This window comes from Homo sapiens, chromosome 7, assembly GCF_000001405.40.
Source record: "Homo sapiens chromosome 7, GRCh38.p14 Primary Assembly".
Taxonomy (NCBI): Eukaryota; Metazoa; Chordata; class Mammalia; order Primates; family Hominidae; genus Homo; species Homo sapiens.
In genome coordinates, this window is record NC_000007.14 from 83,156,939 (window position 1) to 83,179,745 (window position 22,807).

The 22,807-nt window shown below is 36.2% G+C and overlaps 1 protein-coding gene and 1 long non-coding RNA gene across 8 annotated transcripts in view, besides 2 other annotated features; both read right to left on the bottom strand.

The window, feature by feature from the left end:
• The window catches only part of PCLO (piccolo presynaptic cytomatrix protein), a 408,873-nt gene extending 402,927 nt beyond the window's left edge, over positions 1–5,946 (bottom strand). For all 7 annotated transcript variants that reach the window (XM_017012006.3, XM_047420211.1, NM_033026.6 and 4 more), the window contains exon 1: positions 5,407–5,946. In XM_017012006.3, the coding sequence (XP_016867495.1) occupies positions 5,407–5,654 (248 nt within the window). In that variant the 5' untranslated portion in view covers positions 5,655–5,946. The remainder of the gene's footprint in view (positions 1–5,406) is intronic.
• Positions 5,589–5,678: a silencer, noted in NCBI's record as "silent region_18336". NCBI's record gives its function as "represses an Ori minimal core promoter by ATAC-STARR-seq in GM12878 lymphoblastoid cells {active_cell/tissue: GM12878}" and the evidence as "EXISTENCE:reporter gene assay evidence [ECO:0000049][PMID:35858748]".
• Positions 5,799–5,868: an enhancer, noted in NCBI's record as "active region_26214". NCBI's record gives its function as "activates an Ori minimal core promoter by ATAC-STARR-seq in GM12878 lymphoblastoid cells {active_cell/tissue: GM12878}" and the evidence as "EXISTENCE:reporter gene assay evidence [ECO:0000049][PMID:35858748]".
• On the bottom strand, positions 11,244–18,522 carry LOC105375377 (uncharacterized). Its single transcript, XR_927715.2, has 3 exons — positions 18,470–18,522; positions 12,710–13,029; positions 11,244–11,412 (listed from the first exon to the last, which is right to left on the bottom strand). It is a non-coding gene; the product is annotated as an uncharacterized LOC105375377 (long non-coding RNA).
• Between the last annotated feature and the right edge of the window lie 4,285 nt (positions 18,523–22,807).

A 22,807-nucleotide genomic window follows, 5' to 3' on the forward strand; every position in this document is an offset into this window, starting at 1 on the left:
ACATGAACTAAATAGGGAATATAATGTGAAATAAGGGGAGTTTCTGATAATGGAGTTTACATGATGCTTTCCCAGGAATGCTAAAAAGTTTATAATCTATTTAATTTTACTTGGGCTTCTAGTGATCCAGGTCACTAGCCAGGAGAGACTGGGACACAGACGTGGGCACCTAAAATCATGACAGTCCCAGAGAGTGACTGGGGATTATCCCCATGCCTCCATCTAGAAAGGCACCATTCATCAAATATTATCCTTATGAAACATTACAGAATGAGAATTTCTACATTCATTATTTAGACATTCTTGAGGAACAACCCCATCTTTATTATTGAAGATCAGTGTTATCTTTTTTAAAAAATAACTGATTATTAACCCAAAATTTTTATGGGAAGCATAATAGATGCTTAAATCATCTTGAGATATATCTTGGTATCCATATATCTTACTTAGTGTTTGCTACACTATCTCTTAATGCCATTGATTGATTATTAGTAATCTAATTTATTATTGACATTGAGATTAAATGTAGCAAGTAGTTAATTTTCAAGATACATCTTAATGCATAGACAAATATACAAGACATATTTTTTAAAACAGCCTTGGAAACATGATACATTTTAAATGACTATGGTTAAATAATTAAAATAGGAGTTTCTTATTTTTTATATATCTATTGTTTTAGCCAAAAGTCATATTAAATACAGAAACTTTTAAAATAATTCATACTTTAACTTTTAAAATAATTCATACTTTAGTGATAAAGTTGCAGCTAAAAGAATATTCTGAATTAGAATTATGGAGAAAATCATATTATAAGTATTTTATTTGATATATGAGGCTTTTTAAATTTTGAAAAATGTTTCTTTTTAATTAAAGGAAACAAGAATAAAGAAAGTAACTTAGTAGCACCTAAAATATAATATCAGAATAAAGATTTATAGGTTCTAATTGGGTTTACCAAAATTTACCTGCTAATGAGACAGACTACAAATATTTTATTTCATATTCAATACTTCTTATGAATTAACTTTTTCCAAATTTCCTGACATAGAAATTTGAGTACAGGTCAGGATGTAAGAGATAGCAGAAAGACGCAAAGAAGCATTACTTCTAGGTAGCAAGCACTTAGAAGAAAAGAAAATAATCTATAAATGGCAACGTATGCATAAAGTGATTTTCTGGTAAAAGACAAATAAGTAGATTCTGAATTTTTGAAATTTCCTCCAAGGAAAAGTTTACAAAAATATATATATTCTACCATGTCTCTCAAGGCTTTACTTAAACAGAACTAAAAGTGTTACCCTAGTTAATTCCAATAGTTCCAAGCTAGCTCTTAAAATGGACTGCTACATATTTCCATTTGGAGAAAATCATTCTGAACATTTCTTTATAGGTACACTATTCAGACCTTGACATTATTCTATAAATCTTCTATATTTACTTAATATATTGTACCATTCCCTTGAACAGCACATGCTTAGGGCTGATTACAGGTATGGCAATCCTATGAGTAATCATTAGGCATTTTATTTAAATAACTTCCCTGTACAGAGTCCTATAAATCTAACTTTAAGCAGAGTACCAAAAAAAAAATCTACCTTAATTATACTAAATTCTTCTCTCTTGAAAATACTACTAAACTTATTTTAATCATTGTTTTAATATTTCACTTAATCCATCATATTTGTAAAACAACAAAAAATAAACTTCATGAATGTCAAATATTTGTGATAATCAGAAACAGAATTGAAAGCAAGCTGCTTGCACCAGGAATTATAATTGCATGTACTTCCTACAAATATAAGTTGTACTTTACTATAGAATCCCCATCAGAAAATAGGCATACAACCCTAAAGACTGTCTTATAATTTAAACTTAGTTAGTTGCTATAACTATGTAAATAAAAGTAAAACACAGAGATCTTTGAGTGGGAAATGGAAAGAAAATCAAGAGAAAAAACTGCCAATACCAAACAAAAACGTAAAGGTGCTGCTGTCTTTTGGTGAAATTTTGTTAGGCATAACAGTTTTACTGTTAAAAAGAAAAGTGATTAAAATGCAATCTCTGCCTTGTATACTAGACTGTGAACTCCTAGAGAGAAAGGATATATTTCACTTATCTTTGCATCATTAGAACCAAGTCTGGCAACTAGTAGATGAGCATTAATATTTGATGAATTAATGAATAAGTGGATGATTAACAATGAGTGAACCAAGGAATAAATATATCATGTATTCGTTTTACTTTAATGTTTCTTGAATTGCTTTCACTTAAAATTCTTCTACAGGCCTTGAGATATAAATGGATAAATTTCATATTCTCTTTAGAACCTGGATTTGGCCTGCACCTTTAGGAAGAAGCCCAGTAGGGAAGGCTGAAAGTAGTAAAGAAAATAATCAGTTCAGTCAGAATTCTTATTAAATATTCTACTAATCAGAGAATTTTTTTCAATAAAGCCCTTCTCATATGATATATCTGTAACTGTAAATAGAAAGAGTAGAAAAAGTAATGAAATTGCACTTCTCTGGGTCTACAATGAACAAAAAATCCATGAGCATTTCATTTGTAACCTGTCTTCTACTGCTAGCTTGTAACTACTTATATTTAGTACTACACCTCCCTTTTCATTTTACTATTGTCATCCTTGGATTAGAATTTTTCTTTCAAATGTTAGCAGAAAACAAAATATTTCCCCTAAGATGAGGAAAACATATATGCAAAATGTAGGAATGTAAAAGCATCTGAGATAATAAAATTTTTCATAAATGGAACACAACAAACAATGACACTTGACAGTGCTGAGTCACATAAAATTTTATAATATTAGAAATATAAGCAACTTTGGGACTATCTGTTAATTTTTATATATTATATAAATAAATGAATATCTATGCATTTATGCTCTAAGTCCCAGGATATAGGGACTAAGAGAAGCAAAGTGACTAATTCAAGGTCATAAAACTAGTTAGTCACAGAAATCTGGTATCCTCACTCCTGGTTTGTGGGCAGAGGAGGTGGTTTACACCCCATTGAACTGATTTTTCCACATGTAAAAGAAAACTGACACATCAAAATAACCCAAAAACAATGTACAATTCAACAATTTGTCTGTAGCCATCGGTGACAGTGTCACCCATTGCTGATACCGATATTGCCACTCTTTACATTTGTAGGGTTTGTGTAAATTACAACTCAAACAAAAACATTCATCTCAACTTTTAATTGATCCTCAATGGACTAAGACAGGTGAGATAGGTATTAGTAGCCTTATTTAAAGGCAAGGAACATGAGACACATTGATTGAGAAGTATTTGTAATTTGCTATGAGTTGGTCAAAATCAATAGGATAAAAACCCATGCTGTCAATCTTTATTTTTAAAATTCTATGTTCAATTCACACCACTTAAATGCTTAAAACTTCAAATAATTTGTGTATGCCGTCCTATATTAATTAAATTTACATAACTCTATAACTTTAAAAGTCTAAGTGAAAAACCAAATGTTTCTTTGGTAACCATATATAGGGAAAATAACTTTTAAAAAGTTATGTACCTTTTATAGAAATCTTTCAGTAAAATGTAAGAGTAAGTTGCAAAGGTCAGAAAATTATTATTTATTTTTTAGTATTTGGATGAAGTTTTCACCAATACTGTTTGGGCCATACACTAACTATTGATAAGATTTCCATCATAATAAAATTATCAATAGAGAGCTTTAAAAGTATACTATCTGATGCAAATAGTGCATGAAGCAACAGTTTTATAGGTGGAAATAATGTTTCTCAGCCACCTTCTAAACAGAAGAAAAGTTAGAAATCTAGAAATCAAAGATCTCACTGTAACTGGTATTGGTAACCAGCATGATAGACCTGTTGCTTGTGCCTCTTAGGAAAAAATATAAAAGATCTGGCATACAGTTCTAAAAGGCTAATAAAAGTATCATACCTTGTTATTATCCTGTGAAAGTCTACTGAATGAACACTAAATTTTTTTTCTTGTCAAGTTTTCATCAAGTAGAGGAAAACAGTACATATCATAAACTGGATAAGAGAACAAGAAAGACTTTTTCCAAATAGCCCCATGGATTACTAGTTTAAAAACACAGAAAAACATATTTAACATAAAGGGGCTAGTTTTCACTAGTACTAGTAGTTTCAAGATAAACAGACTTTTTACCTGGTAGATTTTAAGCATTTAAGATTTTATGTGAAAATATTGTCACTATCCATAAAACATTTTACATTTCTCCTATAATTATTTGGCAAAATTATGCTTACGTGATAGTGACTAAGTTAATTTTTTTTTTATTTTATAAAGTGGAGGATAAGGATCTACACCTATATATCCAGGTCTTTCGTGCTTACAGTATCTCAAATGAAAAATTGTAGGTTTGCCTTCAGTTGTCATAAAAGAGGAATTGTTTCAGAACCACGGACAGAAAACTGTTCTCTACTAGAGGGTGCAAAGTTAAAGGGTTTGTTTACAGTAAGAAAGGCAAGGCAGGCACAATGATTATACCCCTCTCAGTACTCTAATTAGAAAACAACTAATCTATTGGGATGAAGGAAAATGGAGAGTTACAGGCGGAAATGAAAACATTCATATTACTGATTAGCTCTTATACTTGCCTATGCAAGTTGCCATTTATTTGCTTTGTTTTTAAAAGTATGTATTGAAAATTATTTTCTAAGGTAATAAAATTCACATGTTCTTCCCTAAACTGAAGGCCACTTTTGCATAAAACAGAGCAGTGGCTTAAAAATAGCATATGCTAATTTAGAAATATATGTACAGCACCTGCTCTGCTGTGACCAAACCATCTGTTTAATGCCACACATATTTTAGGGTTCCTCAATGAATATAAAAGGTATATTCATTCTATTCCTTCTACCTAAACAGCTTCTGCTCTCCTCTGGGGGTGGGGTGGCAAGAGAGGACAAATCACCTACAAGGGGATTAAAGTTACAGAAATATTTAGACATCATTCACAGAGAAAAAGACCCGCAATGGCCAAGAGGTTTAAACAGAGACAGGTAAACACCCAGCTCTATCCATTTCCTAACACGTCCGTGTTGTATTAATGGAAGACTTCCAGATTAGTAAAACACTGGAGGGCGTCTCTCCACGCCATCCTAGAGGGGAAGGGCTACAAAAGGCCAAAAATCACAACCTAAAATCACAGTTCCAAGAATGTAACCCTTGACTATCCCACCAGAAACTCTACAATGCATCATTTTTATTCCGCCCATCACAAGGCTTAGGATCTCTCTATGGCCACCCCACTGGGGAGAATAAAATGAACGGAGGCGACATATATGTACCGCCGTGCTGGCACATACAGGCTGGCACATATGTGCACGGGAAGCTGTACATATATGCCCGGACATATACATCATGCTGTGCATGCCTGTGCATGGAAGGCGACTCCGCAGCGGCCGGGGGGACGCTTCCCTTGGGCAGCCCCTGCGCCCTTGACATGACAGCGGCGATCTGTCTCCTCTCCTCTTCGCTCAGCTGGCTCAAATCCGCCTCCATGCCGGCCGGGATCGCGGTGTGAGAGGGGCTCCCCGCCCCGCTAGCTCCTCCTCCAGCCGCTGCGGCCGCCGCCAGCCCTTCGGGGAGCCCTTCCCCTTCCAAGCTCGCCTCGTTGCCCATGGCTCAGGGAGACTCGGGGCCGCCGCGCTCCCTCCTCGCGCCGCGTCCCAGTCGAGAAGCCCGCGGCCAGGGGAGCAGTCAGAGCCGGGGTCCGCCTCGGGGCGTGCAGGCAGCCGAGTCCCTGGACTCTGGACCAGGCACTGCCGCCCGGAACGCCAGGCAGGGGTTAGTCCCGCTCGCAGGTAACGCCCGCTGCCGGTGCCTCCTCCATGTTGGACAGCGCCAGGCAACCTTTGCAGAAGACACCTCCCGGACGCCGCCTCGGCGCCCCGAGCCGGGGAGAAGCAGATCTGAGCGGTGCCAGCCGGGCGCCGTCCGCCCCTCCCACCGCGCACCGCCTCCTCGCCCGCGCCCTCTCAGTGCGCAGGCGCCTCTCGGAACAGGTGATGCCCGCGGCCCACGCCCACCCCATCCTGCGTCGCTCCGGATCCTTCCTCGCTCTCAGCACCGATTTAAAGGAGCCCAGTGAACGCCCGGCTAAAAACAGGGAAGAAACAGGCGACGTTTCTTTCAGGCATATTTCAGGATGCCTCACTGGAGTTTTAGCTTACTAGACACCTAGATTTAAAGGGGGCGGGAGGGGCAGGAGAGGAAATGTCTGTTTTCAGCTTTGGCTCCTGGGATTTGTAGTTTCATTTATTTTCTTTAAAAGAAGGTTTTAAAACATTCTAGGAAAGGGTTCAAGTAACTGAAGATTAGCAAGAGAGACCCTGATACCTTTGAGGCACATTTCCCAAGGGAGCTAAGAATGGCCCTTTTCATTTAGAACTTTCACAGAACAATTAAATTGTTAATTAGATTATTTAAAATGATACAATATTAGTAAGCAGCTAAGGTTTTGAGTGCTTATAACTAGTTCCCTAAAGGGAGGGACTACACAATAATAAAGGATTATGGGAAGTTGTGGACGTGGGGTTCTGCAGTAATATCGAGATTGTAAAAATATTAAAATGTTTTAGTATGAAAGTTTGAAAACATGATTTTATTCCCCCGCCCCTTTTTTAACAAATGTGGACAGAAGAACCCCACGAAGTTCATTTAATGTGTGACTGTTAAGTTACAGTCACACAATTGGTTAGCAGCACGTTATCATAATAACCAGTTTTTGAGACCCACTTTCGACTATCACTCCTACACTTTTCTTGCTGTTACATTTCTTAGACGGGACTGTTCAGCACTGAATCTGCAGCCTCAATGTTGTTACCTACGTTTCCTCAGAATGTGAACTTAATGTCTCAACTGTTGAGGTTAGGTAATAGAGACTGAATAAATAAATCAAACAGAAATGAATAAGTTGCTCAGAAAGTAAGTCCAGGTTTTTGCAATAATCATTACATAGTTCGATCTTCTACCTTCCAAAGTGAATTTGTAGTTTTACAGTATAAAAGCACGAATAATTACAACTGATTTTTTTTTAAATGACAAAAATAATGCAGTCTCTTATGAGGGAACCAAATGCTAACATCTTTTGTAACAAATGCCGAAAAAAAATGACATAGTGTATATTAATACCCGTAACTGCTTTTGTGTGTGATGTAATGAGTAATAAAACTCAAGCTATTCTCATCCTTCGTATGTTTAAAAGTCCATGCATTTTTGTGTATGTATGAATATATACGATTGTATAACTATAGACAATATGGCTTATAATTTTTATATAGGTGCATATGAAGGTCTTTAATTAATATTCCTTCCTAACAGAAGGTGAGAGAGGATTGTGTTCATTGAGTGGAGCAAGAACCTGCAGTGGCTTAAGGTCCGACGCTTCATTTTTTGTTAAGGCCGAGTTACTTCTGAATTGCTGCTCTCAGCCATTTTTGTTAGCTCTACTTTAAAGTGGGATTTACAGTTAGAGTGGAAGAAATTCAAGTAAGGTTACAACTGATTATAAACTGGCTTCTCAATTTTGAGAGAAAAATCACGAGAAGTATTTTAGTGAAAAGTTTGATAAATTTAATTTTGAATTCTTAATATCTGAACCATCAATTTTTTCCTTTATACTTAGTCCAAAGTGTATCTGTAATTTAAATAAAAGAAAAACTCGTATTTAGAATGTGTTCCTATAGACATACAATGTATAAAATATTAAGTAATAAAATTAGTTTTGTCACTTTACAATATTTGTAAATTGAAAAATATTAATAAGTCATGAAGTTATAACTTAGATGATCAGCATTATTTATTCAACCATTTTATAAATGGAGTTTAGAATTTAGAACCCGCTTTTTGGAGAAAGGGTACATGTGTGCATGTCTTATACTTCAGGTTTTTTCTGTTGACGATGTCTGGTTTTAAATCCTAGCTCTGCATTCTTACAGCTATTTGGATTGGTAAGTCACTGACTTTTCAGATGTTGAGGTTCCTCAACTGTAAGAACAGAGAAAATAATACTACTAACATTACTACCTCTCAGGTTTGTTGTGACAACTAAATTAGAAAAAGCTGTGAATGCACTTGTAAACTAGAAATATGTTATCAGAATGTGGTATATGGTTACCAGGCTAGCCTGGGAAATTACTGAGTCTTCCATGCTCTGAAGAAGCCAAGGAGGTGGGACACATGGAGAGAGGATCCTAGCTGCCTCGGCTTCGTCCATCTCAGCTGAGGCTTTAGTGAGACCCCCGCCCCCCCGACCGCCTTAGCATAACCTACCCCAGCTGAGCTACCTACTGGCTACAATGACATCAATGAACCCAATGAGACCAGCAGAAGAACTACACAATCAACTGAAAGAATCAGAGAATTAATAATAATAATGATAATAATAAGATGCTTTTTTAAGTCAATAAGATTTTTTGGGGGGGCTAGTTAAGCTATATAACTGATATTCCAGGTTTTGCACATTATGATTATGCATAAGCCTTCAAAGTTTCCCTTCACTCTTTTAGTGACTTTTCTCAGTTACTGTCCAGCTGCACTTGAGTTGTTTGTTCAAAATTTCCAAATACCACCCTTCTAAACTATAAAGTGGAAAAGAACACAATTATCTTGAATACTTATATGCGTGTTTCATGAAAGGCTCAAACAAGAAAGTATATGTGAAGATGACTTTTAAACGATGTAGCATTACCCAGACGTAAAGTTATATAAGAAATGGAAGATTTGGCATGCCCTGGTGGCTCACACCTGTAATCCCAGCACTTTGGGAGGCCAAGGCGGGCGTATCGCGAGGTCAAGAGATCAAGACCATCCTGGCCAACATGGTGAGACCCTGTCTCTACCAAAATACAAAAAATTAGCCGGGCGTGTTTGCATGCCCTTGTAGTCCCAGCTACTCGGGAGGCTGAGGCAGGAGAATCACTTAAACCCGGGAGGTGGAGGTTGCAGTGAGCCGTGATCACACCACTGCATTCCATCCAGCCTTTGAACAGAGCAAGACTCTGTCTCAAAAAAAAAAAAAAAAAAAAAAAAAGAAAGAAAAGAAAGGGAAGATTTATTTATAAGAATTTTCTGAGGAACATCAATGTATTTATTTGAGAATTCGTTTGGAGTCAGGTGACACTCTCAAGGTCCTACTCAAGAGGATTAGACTATAGGTTTACATCCCTGGGTAAAATGCTTGGGGTCAGAACTTCAAAATTATTTGTGGGATTTTACAAAGTTAATAAGATAAACTGTACATTATATAATAGTACTTTTAATATTTATCCAGGAAAACCTGTTAATAGTCACATTTACCTCTAAAGGAGTTAAGATGAAATCAACTAGAAGATGCTCAGTTTTTCTGAGTCTGGTGATGGATTGGAGTTCATACATACATATATAGATGGAGTTTTGCTCTCGTTGCCCAGGCTGCAGTGCAATGGCGCGATCTTGGCTCACCGCAACATCCACCTCCCGGGTTCAAGAGATTCTCCTGCCTCAGCCTCCAGAGTAGCTGAAATTACAGGCATGCGCCACCACACCTGGCTAATTTTGTATTTTTAGTAGAGACAGGATTTCTCCGTGTTGGTCAGTCTGGTCTCGAACTCCTGACCTCAGGAGATCTGTCCGCCTTGGCCTCCCAAAGTGCTGGGATTACAGATGTGAGCCAATGCACCAGGCCTGGAGTTCAGATATTTTTAAAACAGCATGGGCTTATTTAAGTGTTCTGTAGAATAAAGATAAAACAACTTGAATTGGTAAGGTAGCATGAATTGGAGGACAAAAGTAGAGAAATCTATAAGAGAAGGAGGGGACTTGATGCCACTTATTTTTGAAAAGGGAAAGAGAAATGTTCCCACTCCTAGCTCCATTGGCAATATGGCCTACGGGACTTTGTAGGACCAACATGTCAGTGAGGCTGCAAGATGTTTTCTGTGGACTGTGCACTGTAAAACCCTGCCTTGTCTCTCTCATGCAAAGGCAGGAATGTCTATGTTGCTTAAGTGTTTGTACATTGTGATGGTTAATTTATGTGTCAATTTAACTGGCTTATGGAGTGCCAGACATTTGGCTGAACCTTGTTTTTGGGTGTGTCTGTAAGAATCATTCCAAATGAGATTAGCATTTGAATCTGTGAATTTAGCAGATTACCCTCCCCAATGTGGGTGAGCATCATCCATCCTATTGAGGGCATGAATAGAACAACAACAACAACAACAAAAAAGCAGAGGGAGGGAGAATTTCTTCCTTTCTGCTTGACTACTTGAGCTGAACATCAGTTTTCTGCCCTTAGACTTAGCTTTACATCATTGATCACCCAACCTCCGGGTTCTCAGGCCTTCATGCTCCAACTGAATGATATCACCAGCTTTCCTGGGTCTCCAGCTTGCAGATGGCAGATCGTAAGACTTCAGCCACTATAATTATGTGAGCCATTTTCTTATTTTATAACGTGTGTGTGTGTTTATACACATATATATGTGTGCATATATATATATTAGATATAATAAAAGATAGATCCATATAGATACATATCCAAATATATAGACAGATAGATGATAGATAGGTAGATAGATAGATAGATAGATAGATAGATAGATAGATAGATAGATATAAGTATATGTCTCTCCATCCGATTGGTTCTGTTTCCCTGGAGAACTTTGACTAATAATATATGCATGGGTTCCTTGAGAAAGGATGGGGTGAGAGTTCAAGGCATGGAAAGAGTGCAGGGCTTTGTATCCATGTAAATACACGTTAAAAATATTTGCAATATAGATATCATGTACATACACAGGAACTGAGAGAAAAAAGACATCTGATGTATATGTTTTAGTCATTATCATATGTACTAAAATGTAAGGTTTATTATGGTTTTCAGAAGGCCCCATAATTTTCTCATGTGTTAATTACAACCTAATAATCTTTCAGGTAGGTTCTTAGCAGCAGCGTGAAAACAGACTGATACACTCATTGACCTCCAAACATACCATGCAAACCTCTTCTTTAGTTCTGCTCTTCATCAGCTTGGCAGGATTGTCCCCTTTCCTCTATCCATCTGTGCATTTTTCAAAGCCAGGCTTAAGGCCCATTCACCACAGTCAGACCTTTCCCTATTCTGAAGCCACTATTATTTTCAATTATCATTTGAGAATATTATTATTTATTTAATATTTATTTAAAGATCATGTTGCTTTATTTGCTTAATTGTTTTCAGTACTGATTTCTTAAAATGATGCAAAATATTGCTGTTTCTTTTGCAATACCATCACTACCTAGTGCACATAGTGAATGCTCAAATCAGCAGACATCAAATGCATTGCTTAGTGACCAGTCTTCAGGTTAAAAGTGTAAATAATGCAAAAACTGCAATAGGTTGTTTTGTAGAGGACATCTATAAAGGGAAAATAAAGGAATTCTTTTGTTATGATTAAGGAATTATCTTTTATAATTATACAATTTTAACCTATACATATTATATTACATTTAATATATTACAAGACCCTCTGTTAAGTATTTTCTCAATTTTATATTAATTCTTCTGACAATCTTGTCATGTACTATTGTTTTGTCCATTTTAAAAATTAAAAAGTTGAGATTCAGAAAATTTATTTAAATTTCTTTAGTTCATTTAACCAGTAAATGACAAGAGAGAACTCAAACTTAGCTTAACAAGAATCTAAAACCTACTCCTTTCTCCCTTTTATTAAAATGCCTCCAATTTCTAATAGGAAAAGATAGTCCTGCTAAAGAATGTATAGACCCATGGGATGGTACTTCTTGTGGCTACTTTTAGGGCTTGGTAGTGCATTAAGTATATTGGAAATGTATATACATTTTTAACAAGCTGTCTAAAACATATAATAATAATTGGAAAATGACACATAGTACTTTAACTATTTAAGAAATATTCCATGCAGCCAAAAAGAAGAATAAAAAATAAAGATATTTACTGAGATTGTGCACATGTACCCTAAAACTTAAAGTATAGTAATAATAAAAAAATAAAGATATTAATATGGTTTGGCTGTGTCCCTACTCAAATATCATCCTGAAATATAGTTCCCATAATCCTCACATGTCATGGGAGGGACCTGGTGGGAGTTAATTCAATCTTGGGGACAGTTACCTCCATGCCGTTCTTGTTATAGTGAGTGAGTTCTCGCGAGATCTGATGGTTTTATAAGGGGCTTTTCCCTGCTTTGCCCTGCATTTCTTCTTGCTGCTGCCGTGTGAAGAAGGGCATGTTTGCTTCCCCTTCCACCATGACTGTAAGTTTCCTGAAGCCTCCCCACCCCTGTGGAACTGTGAGTAAATTAAACCTCTTTCCTTTATAAATTACCCAGTCTTGGGTATTTCCTTATAGCAGCTAAGAATGGGCTAATACAGATGTTGAAAAAAACGCAATAATAAAACTTCTCACTATTCTAATTTCATAATATTATTCATTAAAAATATTATTATCAATTTGCCATGTTTTATCTGCACTTAGGGTTAGATATCTTTACCTCAAGTCATAGAGCAATAATTTTATCATTCACCATTTTAGGAGCCATTTGGAGAATGTTTAATTTTATGCCAACCAAGTTCTAGATTTGCCAGGTTAACTGTTGATGAGTAAGTGCCAAGGATGGAAGATATTTTATGTAATTCTGCCTGAGGCTTCCCATGTCTTTCCCCACTCAACTTACTGCTCACGTAGAAAGATCAGTGTCAGCTGTTGGCAAGATGGTCCATCATCTGTCTGTAATAATAATATTTCATGTTTTCTAATGGCCTTCATTGCAGGGGTCTCAAACTTTTGAAACCTGATAGCCATGTAATACTGCAGTAACCATGGTTGGTTTCACAAATTTTTAAACTGTAGAAGTGAAGCAATGATCCATTCTCCAGCATAACTCTTGAGTCACTTACACTTGCCACTAGAGAAGTTTAATTTTTCACACATTTTATCTCATCATTCATCTCATAAGGCCAAAGATATACCAATCACAGATTCAAAAGCTGAGCCCTTCAAAGAAAAAAAATAATTGTATCAATATAATAAATGACACTCCAAGATAGATCATCATGGTCTTATTGATTTTCTTGCAATTCTTGGCAGGAAGTGGTGGCTATTTTTAATCATAGATAGTAAAAGACTCAAAGAGAAGCTGTTCTAGAGATTTTCCATAGAAGAAAGGCTCTTTCTGAAGTGATGAATATAGTTTCTTTCTAGGCATTTGTATTTTCATTCCATTCTCAAAGACAACCTGAGGAAAGATGGGCCATCTACTGTCAGAAACATGGCCGTACCTTACAGCTTACCAGTTGGCTTTAGGTGGCCAAGAAGCAGACATCCTGAGGAAAGATGGGCCATCTACTGCCAGAAACATGGCAGTACCTTACAGCTCACCAGCTGGCTTTAGGTGGCCAAGTAGCAAGACTTGGAACTCTGTCTCTTGCCTGCTTGCCCGTCTCCCTTGCCAGTTAGTGATGATCTCCTAGTTTTGTTCAGCAGGGCAGAATTCCTTCATGCAGCAACTATTTAAACCACCTACTATGTGCTGATGCTAGAGGTATAGTGGGATGCAAGAGAGACCTGGTTTCTGTGCTTAGAATTTATATTCTAGTTGGGGAGACAGACTTTTAAAAAAAACTATTCCATCTTTCTGGGGAGAGTAGGGTTCTTAGACCTTCCACATAAGCATCTAAGAGTTTGTAGGAAAACAGACTGTCAAACCTGACCCCAGACCTACTGCTTCAGAATCTGCATTTTAACAATATCCCCTGGTGATTCATGTGCACCTTACAGTTTGAAATAAATAATAAGAATGAACTCTAAACTAGATCAGTGAGGATGGGTAAGGAGACGTATTGATGGAAGAGCAGATGTTATATATTCTGATTTTAGAGGCCTTAGACTGGATAAACAGACTGCAGTTTGTAACTTAAGCACCCGGAAAGTGCTGCTTCAACATGCTTTTTCAATCCCATGGCATACACAAAGCTGATTAGGAAACAGAAACAATATTATGTAACTCTTTTTTCCCCTGTATGCTATTGGCTTAGTGAATGTGGGCATTTAGACTGGGCATATATTTGGTTATACTGGAGTTGTAACTGGAATTCCGTATTTGAGCCTGGAACTGGTCCTTATTCTGCTGAGCATATTATAAGATAGAGTCTTTTTGAGGTGTGATGAGCAAGGCTAAATATAGAAGAGAATTTAACAATGTTTTAAAAACTAGAAATTTTTATGCTACTCTGATAAATGTCAATGTCACCTTAAGCATGAAGATAGGCTATTAAAACATTTCACAACTTCTTTTTATCATCTATTATTTTTCTGAAAATACTGTACTGTAATTTGTTCCCAAAACATTGATTATCACATGCAGAGCCAATATTAAAACACAATTAAATTTAAATTTAAAACAAATGAAAACAGGAAGGGAACAAAACTTTGAGTTTAATAAAGGGAGAAAAATTCATCTTGAGAATTGGGTTTAGGCAAAAATGTTTGGGAAGTTTTAGAAATCCTTATTAAGGTATAGGTCAGGATAATATGGTGATCACATGTCCATTTCCCCTTCAGAAGTGACTAGAGATGAGAAGCCAAGTGCCAGGGGACTTAATGTGTTCCATGGATATGTTTTGTCCTCCCCACACAGTAATTTTTTATGTGCTATATTTTTAAATTGGCAGATTGCCCATTACAAATTATAGATTTCTTATTTCTTTGGAAAAATGAAGTCTGAAGCACCAAGTACATTATTACTTGGCAACAACCAACTGCAGTTGGGTAGCAGCCTTCTCCTTTAAACCCGCACCCACCTGGCTTCTTAATTTATGTTCATAGCCTGTCTTCTGCAGTCATTATGTATTTGACTGTTCTACAATCTCCGCTTCTCGCTAAGGGAGGACACAATCTTTCTACCAATTAGAAATATCTAGCTAGGGCTTACAAATTTCATAATTGATTTTAGTCCTGTCTGCTGAACTACATTTTTAAAAGATAGAGGACAAGATACACAATATATTATAGACTTCAGCCACATTTTCTTCTTTGCATCTCCACTAATTCCTATTATTGATTTTCCTTTGAGCACATTGGTTTGTGCGCCTGAATTATAAGTAGTGACAGGTTGAACTTCCTCCACTCCTGTATGTGTCAGAGTTGCAATTAACAATCATGTAGGTCAGATAATAGTGATGACAATATAAAGGAAAAAATACTTCCTCCTAACTTAGTCTCGGAGGTTTTCTGTAGTGAATATGTTCCTTTACCTACAAAGAATATTTGCTTTCAAAATAATTTCTAATAAATGTCATATGTCAACTCACTTTCCATGTAACTATTTCTATTTCTAGAAATCTGTTTAAGGTCAAGAACTAACATTAGTTACTCTTCTTTTATAAGCCTCTGTCGATGGCGTTCATAAATTCTACAGGTCTTACTAACTTTCAGAATAAGTTAGCAATATTTTGAAATCCATTATAGATAATCTGAAAGATTAACATGCCTTACATCTGACCATAAATTTGATACTAATATAAAATTCTATTCAATCTTTCAGGCCCACAGTACATTTTTAACTTGTTTCAGAAAAAAATCTGGCCCAGGCCAGAGTATGTGAGTCACTTGAGATACCTTCCTTTACTGACAGCTTTTAAGTTATATACCCTACAATCTCTAGTACAAACATGCCCTTCCTAATTATTTTCCCCTTGCCCCTCACATGAACCTCCTTTTCCCTTCCAAGATATATCTCATATTACCTCTTTGTGATGTTCAGACATTCCCTAGCATTTGTATTCTCACCCCTTTCCAGTCTATTCAAATCCTACCCAAGTTTCATGGACCTTCTGAAATGCACGTCCTCCATAAAATTATTCCTGCTCACTCTACCTCTCTGATTCAATCATCTGGCAAATATCATGTGCTAGATTGAAATATTATTTATCTTATCAAGTCAATATGTTTTAATACCTTTAGCAATATGCTTACAAAAATGTCCTATATTCCATGTGTTTTTTAATCCAATAAATTACTTTTCATAAGAAAAACTCATAAATATTCATCAGTGGCTAACCTAGTTCTGAGATCTAATAGCTTAAATCAAAGATCCAGTATCATCAAATTTTCTCTCTCTCGAGTATCTTTCCCATCAACAGACAAGCATGTTTCTAGTCCCAGTATGTTTTTTAAAATTTTCTCTTGACCTTATTTCTCCCTCCAGCTATAGCCCATCTCTCTGTTCCTCTTTGTAGCTGAACTGATGCTCTTATTCAGATTTAAGTGTCCAGCCCATATGATATTTAATACTCATATAAAAATTAACATGTCCAAAATCAATACTGATTTCCACTCCTGACCCCAAACTTGCTATTCCATTTCCACATATCATTTAATAGTAATTTCACCTCTCTCATTGTTAAAGCTAGATATTAATATATTGGGATATTGGGATCATTTTAACTTGTCTTTCTCTTACGCAAAATAGCTAATCCAGTGGGAAATCCTATTGTCTCCAACTTCAGAATTTATCTGGAATCCAAATATGTCTCATCTCTGACACTGCTATTTGACTATTTAATTCCACTTGAATAATTTCAATAGCTTCTGTCTGGTCTGCCAGCTTCCACTCTTGCTCAACTTTTGTGTATCTACTCTCTACACAGTAAGTAACCAGTGTGATGCTATCAGATCATGTCAGTTCCTCTGCCTCAAACTCATCCAATGGCTTCCCATGTCAATAAAAGGAAAAACCAAAGATTTTGCAAATCCTACAAAGTTCCATGTGATCTTAAACCCACCCACTTTTACTTCTAGTGCTCTCTTCTTTGCTCACATCCTTCCAGCCACATTGACCAATGTATTCTTCTTCAAACATACCATCTATGCTTATGCCTCAGGGCCTTTGCACATGCCATTCCCTCTGCCTGGAATACTTTTCCTTCCTATAAGCATATAACCCCCTTTAGGCCTTTGCTCATCAGTAGTTAGCATCAGCATCACCTTTTCAGTGAGAATTTATGTGAACAGTCTCTTTAAAATGTTAACCCCTACCCACCTTAGCATTCCCTATTATCCTCATTGCTTTATTTGTCTTCAAGTCCACTTATCTACATCTGATATAGTATTTGTTTTACTTATTTTGTCTTCCCAACTGGAATGTAAATTAGGGATTTATCTCTAATCCTCAGAATAGTGGCTCACATGTAATAGGTATTCAGTAAATATTTTCTGAATGTAAGAATAGTTAAATGAATGAATGAATAACAACAGATTACCTATAACAAAACTAGATTCTAGGTGAAATTGAATTATAATGCATTTCCCCTGATAAATTCTGGGGGTAACTCCCATGCTATCTTTGTGTGATACAAATCATGCTTCTTTTTTTTTTTTTGGACTTAAATACCACTTACGCACTGTTCAGTTACTATAATTTTGTCTTCATTCTTCACTGTTTCTGTGAACTTTATACTCACCTCTCTGTTGGACAAGGCACAATAATGTTGCTCCAGCACTGTAAGTTCAAAATGCCCAAATCTTACTATACCTCCTCAAACCCTCTCACTCTGCTTTGCTAAGCATGTCAATAAATGGCTACACTTCTCACCCAAGCCAGATATGTGGCAATTGTCTTAGAGTTTTCATCATCTGGTCTAAGTGCATCTAAGCACTCCAAACATAAAAATTGAAGGCATATCCACTCTTTTCCTTATCTTTACAAGCAAAGGTGGAAAGATAATTTTTGTGAGAAGTATTTGTGTGGGTTTTTTTTTCCGTTTTTCTCTTTTACATTAAATAGGAGAATAAACATGTAAGTATTTTCTTGCCACAGGAACTTTTTCAGGGTAGAAAGAAGAAGCTATGTAGAAACCCAGGGACAGAAGGCAAAAAGAAGCAAAAAAGAGAGAGATGAACAACTAAGACATGAGAACAGATAGTTGTATAAAGTACATGGTGTTTCCAGAGGCGCTATCCTATGTATAGTGGTGGTCAGACTCTCCAAAGAGCCACGCACTTCATATAAGACCTGAGAGCTGGAAAGTCTCCAGACTTCAGGCTATTTGCAGACTAGAACAAAGACACATATTGAAGCCAGAAAGACCAATGACCAGTGGCCTCCCTTATTGCTGCACAAGACATTGAATGGTTGCAAACACAAGGAGCACTGAACCCCAATAATGACTAAAACTGACTGTTTCACCAGCCCAGAAGAATGGGAGCTCTGTCAGCTTTAAGTTTATTTAAATAAAATAAATATCCATGGAATTTCAGCATTTGTAGGCTAAAATTTATATATTTTGCTCAATAAGCAGTCTCTCTCTCACTCATTTTTGAAAAACAAAGCCACTAGAGTGACTAGAATTTCAGAAAAAAACATTATTTCAGAACAAATATAGAATTATTTTTTAAAAAGCCTTGAAGTTCCAAGGACTGCAATTTTTCATCATACCTTTTAAACTTGGGAAAGTATGGTCTTTCCTTTCGTCTCTCATTTCTCCTCTTTCAAATAACATTTGATAAATAGAACTGTCCACTAACAAAACAGAATTCTGCACACAATAGCATCAACTCATTTAAGGTCACAGTCTCTCCAATAACTTAAAATCTTAGATAAGCAATGAAGTAGACAGAATAGGAGCTGGCAGTAGTTGCAGAGATGAGGACAAGGGGAGAAAATTATAAGCCTGAGCACATGAGTCATTTTAATGCATCCATTTTGACAAAGGAGCATTTTTGATGTAGCCTAAATCAGAAAATTATAATTGCTTTTATGACCCAGAATTGTGACAAGCATATCTTCCCCACCCTTCTCAGAGCCATATCCTTTGCTGCCTCTTACTTTCATAGATAAAGTGAAATGTAGGGATTGACTATGGAGAACATACAAGGTAGGGGTTAGGTTCTAACAGCTACATAAACTATATCTCACTAAGATTTCTGTGGTTATCGGACTTATCTCTAAGGGACCATTGGTCATTCTGAGAAAAGTATGTATTGCCCAAGAAGTCTTTTTTAAATTGAATATTTACCTTTCAAATTATCTAATTTCTCTCTCAAAATTGAACTGTTTTATTTACTCCAATGAATAAATAAAATTGCATGCTTATTAATGGTATTTGGATTTTTTTAACTGTGAAATTCTGAAGGACAGAAACATCTCCCTTTTGTAGGCTTTGTAGGCTTCCTGATTATGCACCATTAGAAACAAATATAGGACATTGGATGTGAAAGGGTTGTATAAAAGCTATTTGTGTCTTTTGAAGTGGGCTGGTCAGTTATTTTTCAGATTATTGCTTAATTTGTGTTAGTCTGGTGTCTTCCTATGTTTAGATTTACATTATGCATTTTTGGCAAGAACACTACGGAAATAATGTGCCTTTCTTAATGCTCTTTTGTTTTGAGATCCAGACTGCATAGAAGATTTCCCAAAAATATCCTTTCATTTCAGTGACTAAAAGACTTTCCTTGGTTTTATTGCTTAACTAGTCTATGCTTCATTTTCTTCCTCTATACAGTTTGGATACCAATGGTACCTTCATCACAAAGTTGTTGTGATGATTAAACAAAGTCATACTAATAAAATATGTAGTACAGCACTTGGCACTTAGTAAACTCTAAATAAATAGTAGCCATTATGAATATTCATTAATTAAAAACAAATATTTAACATGAAATAAGAACTTTCTGTGTTTACATTATTTTGCTTATTTAAGCTAGTGAACAACCCCATCAAATAGAAAAGTCATCATTAGAGTACTATCATAGTAATGCAGGCCAGATTACCAATAAATAGTAAAATTAGTGGGTGAAAGATTAAGAAGAAGTAGGATATTTGCATAGTCTCAATGTGTCTCCCTCGAAATATTTATTATAAATGGGAAAATAGTTCCATGAATGTGAGTTCCATGAAGGCAACTTTAAAGTAGGGCACCTCAATAGACATGACTTTAAAAAGCAAATTCAAAAGGCCTGAGTCAGCAGGCTGCCTTCTTGATACAGAGGAATATGGAGGCCATTGTGGCTAAGGGCAGACAAAGCAAGTGGTTAACTAAATGTTCAAGGCTAACATCACATGACATATTAACATCATGTACTACTGCCTTATTTGCTGCCTAATATAATACAATGAGAAGGGTACATTATTTTTGCACTCTATCCATAAGGAGTATCCTCACTCTAACCATGGGAAATCATCATATATACCCAAATTGACAGACATTCTGCAAAATATCTGACCAATGCTTTTCCAAAGTGGCATGATCAGAAAAGACAATGAAATACTGAAGAATATTGCAGATTGAAATAGACTAAGGAAACATGGAAACTATATCCAATGTGGGATCCTGGGTGGATGTTGGACCAGTAAATGGATATTAGTGGAAAAAATCGTGAAATTTGAATAAGATCTGTAGTTTAGTAAATAGTAATATACCAATGTTCACTTCTTAATTTCAATAAACACAATGGTTATGTAATATTTTAACAATAGAGGATGCTCAGTAAAGAGTATACAAGGTCTTTCTCTACTACTACTGCAATTTTATCTGTAGGTCTAAAATTATTTCAAAATTTGAGAAGTTTAAAAAAAATCCAGTAGATACCACTATTTTCAGATGAGGAAATGAAGTAGAATGTGTTAAGGTCACAGCTAGTAAGAGTAGGAGATGAAATTCTAAACCAGTCAGTTGGGATACAGAGCCTGCACGTTTAAAACTTCATAGAACTTCTCATTAAAATAAGTATACATTATTACACAATGATAATTTAGGAGGTGGTAAAACCCACCTAGGTGTTAACTCAATTGTAAAAAAATGTTTATTTTTATAATTCATTTTTTTCTCATTATATTGGTAATGAATACTAATATAAGAAGTCTTGGCTAAAAGACTCCTTCCTGTATCAAATTACAACCTCCACATTCACTTTTAGCACCTCCACTCTTTTTCCCTCCTTTTTTTCCTCTCCCCAATTTTCTCTCTCTCTCCCCACAACCGCCTCCTCACACACACACTTAAAAAAAAAATCTCTTCATCTCTATGCCTTAGAATGTGAGTTCCATGAAGGCAGGTATTTTTATCTGTTTTATCCCAAGTTCCTAGAGATAGTAAGTGATCAATTTCCTGAATTAATAAATGAATTAATGAAGAGTCTCTACCCTCATGGAAATGCAAGTGTTCCAATTTTAAATGGAAGGGAAGGCTGCACTAAGAGGGCATTTAGGCAAAGATTTGAAGGACGTGTGTGGGCAAGCCATGCATATAATTGGAGACAGATAATTCAGGCCAAAGAAAGCAAACTCGAAAGGCCTGAGTTGGCAGGCTGCCTTATTGATACAGAGGAACATGGAGGCCAGTGTGGTTAGGAGAGACAAAGCAAGTGGTGGAAGCCATGAGAGATGACGTGAGAAAGACAACGAGGAGCTGCAGACACACAGAAGCTAGTAAATTGTAAAGACTTTCCCCTAGGTGAGATGGAAATCTACTGGAGAGTTTTAAGCAAGTAAGTGTTATGGTTTGACTTAAATGTGTACAAGATCACTCTGGCTATTGTGCATAGATTCTAGTGAGCAAAAAGGGAGGTAGGAAGACCAGTTAGAATCTACTCCAGAAACTTAGGCGAAATACTGTACTGGCATGGACAAGTCTGGTAGTGGCTGAATTCTAACCGTGCTATTCACAGGATAACATTACTTTCCCTATCTTCAAAGCAGTTATAGTCTCATCTCCAGAAACTTTTCCCAAAGAAACATCTTATGTTATCCTGTTCAGCAATTACAACTCTCTAATAGGCCTTGTGTGTCTACCATTGTGGTAGCTGCACTGTGAACAGTATAAAATGATTACAATTGAAGGGGTTAATATTTTTTTTTAGTATGAAATAACTTTTTCAACAAAATCCTCTATCCACTCCCCCTCCCTATACCCATAAGAGTGTTCTACTTTTATTATCCTTGGATGTGGCCCTATTATGATAACCCATATCCCACAAACAATGACATTTGGATTCACACATTCTTTACAGATGTGTAAACAGGAGTATGCAGTCCCATTGAGGATAAGGGGTTCGGACACAGAGCCAGAATTTATAAAAGAATGTTCAACAGTTTCTTCCAAGTTTTTCATAGAAATGGGCCTCTCAGGGGTGGAAGTAGCATAAAGTATTTGGTGAAAGTTCTTCCCTAGTGGAGCTTACATTGTTTAGAATAAGAATTGTTAACCACATGTAAATACACAACTAACAGGAAACTTATAGACCTTGTCAAATGCCAGGAAGTAAACAAATGGGAAAATGAGATGGAGTGACAAGAGGAAACAACATCTGATGGAATAGCATGGCAAGGTGTCTTCAAAGAGGTGACATTTAAGCTGAGACCCAAAAGTTGAATATGTGAAGACCTGGGGAAAAAGTATTCAATGGAAAAAAAGTATCTAAGTCTAAAAATCATTAAATAGCAAAGAACTTAGTTAGTTTAAGGAATAGAAAAAAAAGGCAAATTTCTATAGTTGGAAAGGAAGCCATGAGGGAAAGTATCTGAGATGAAGTAGAGAGAAGTAGGTGGAAACCAGATCATGTCAGGCATTTAGGCCAGGACAAAGGATTTGGATTTTATTCCAAGAGCAATGGGAAGCCATTGGAAGCTAATGATGACAAGAGTAACATAGTCTGACTCACAATTTTTAAGTTAAGGATTTTTTTAATTGACACATTGTAATTATACATTTAGATATACATTTATATGGGGTACATGCTGATGTTCCAATACATATGTATGTTGTATAATAATCAA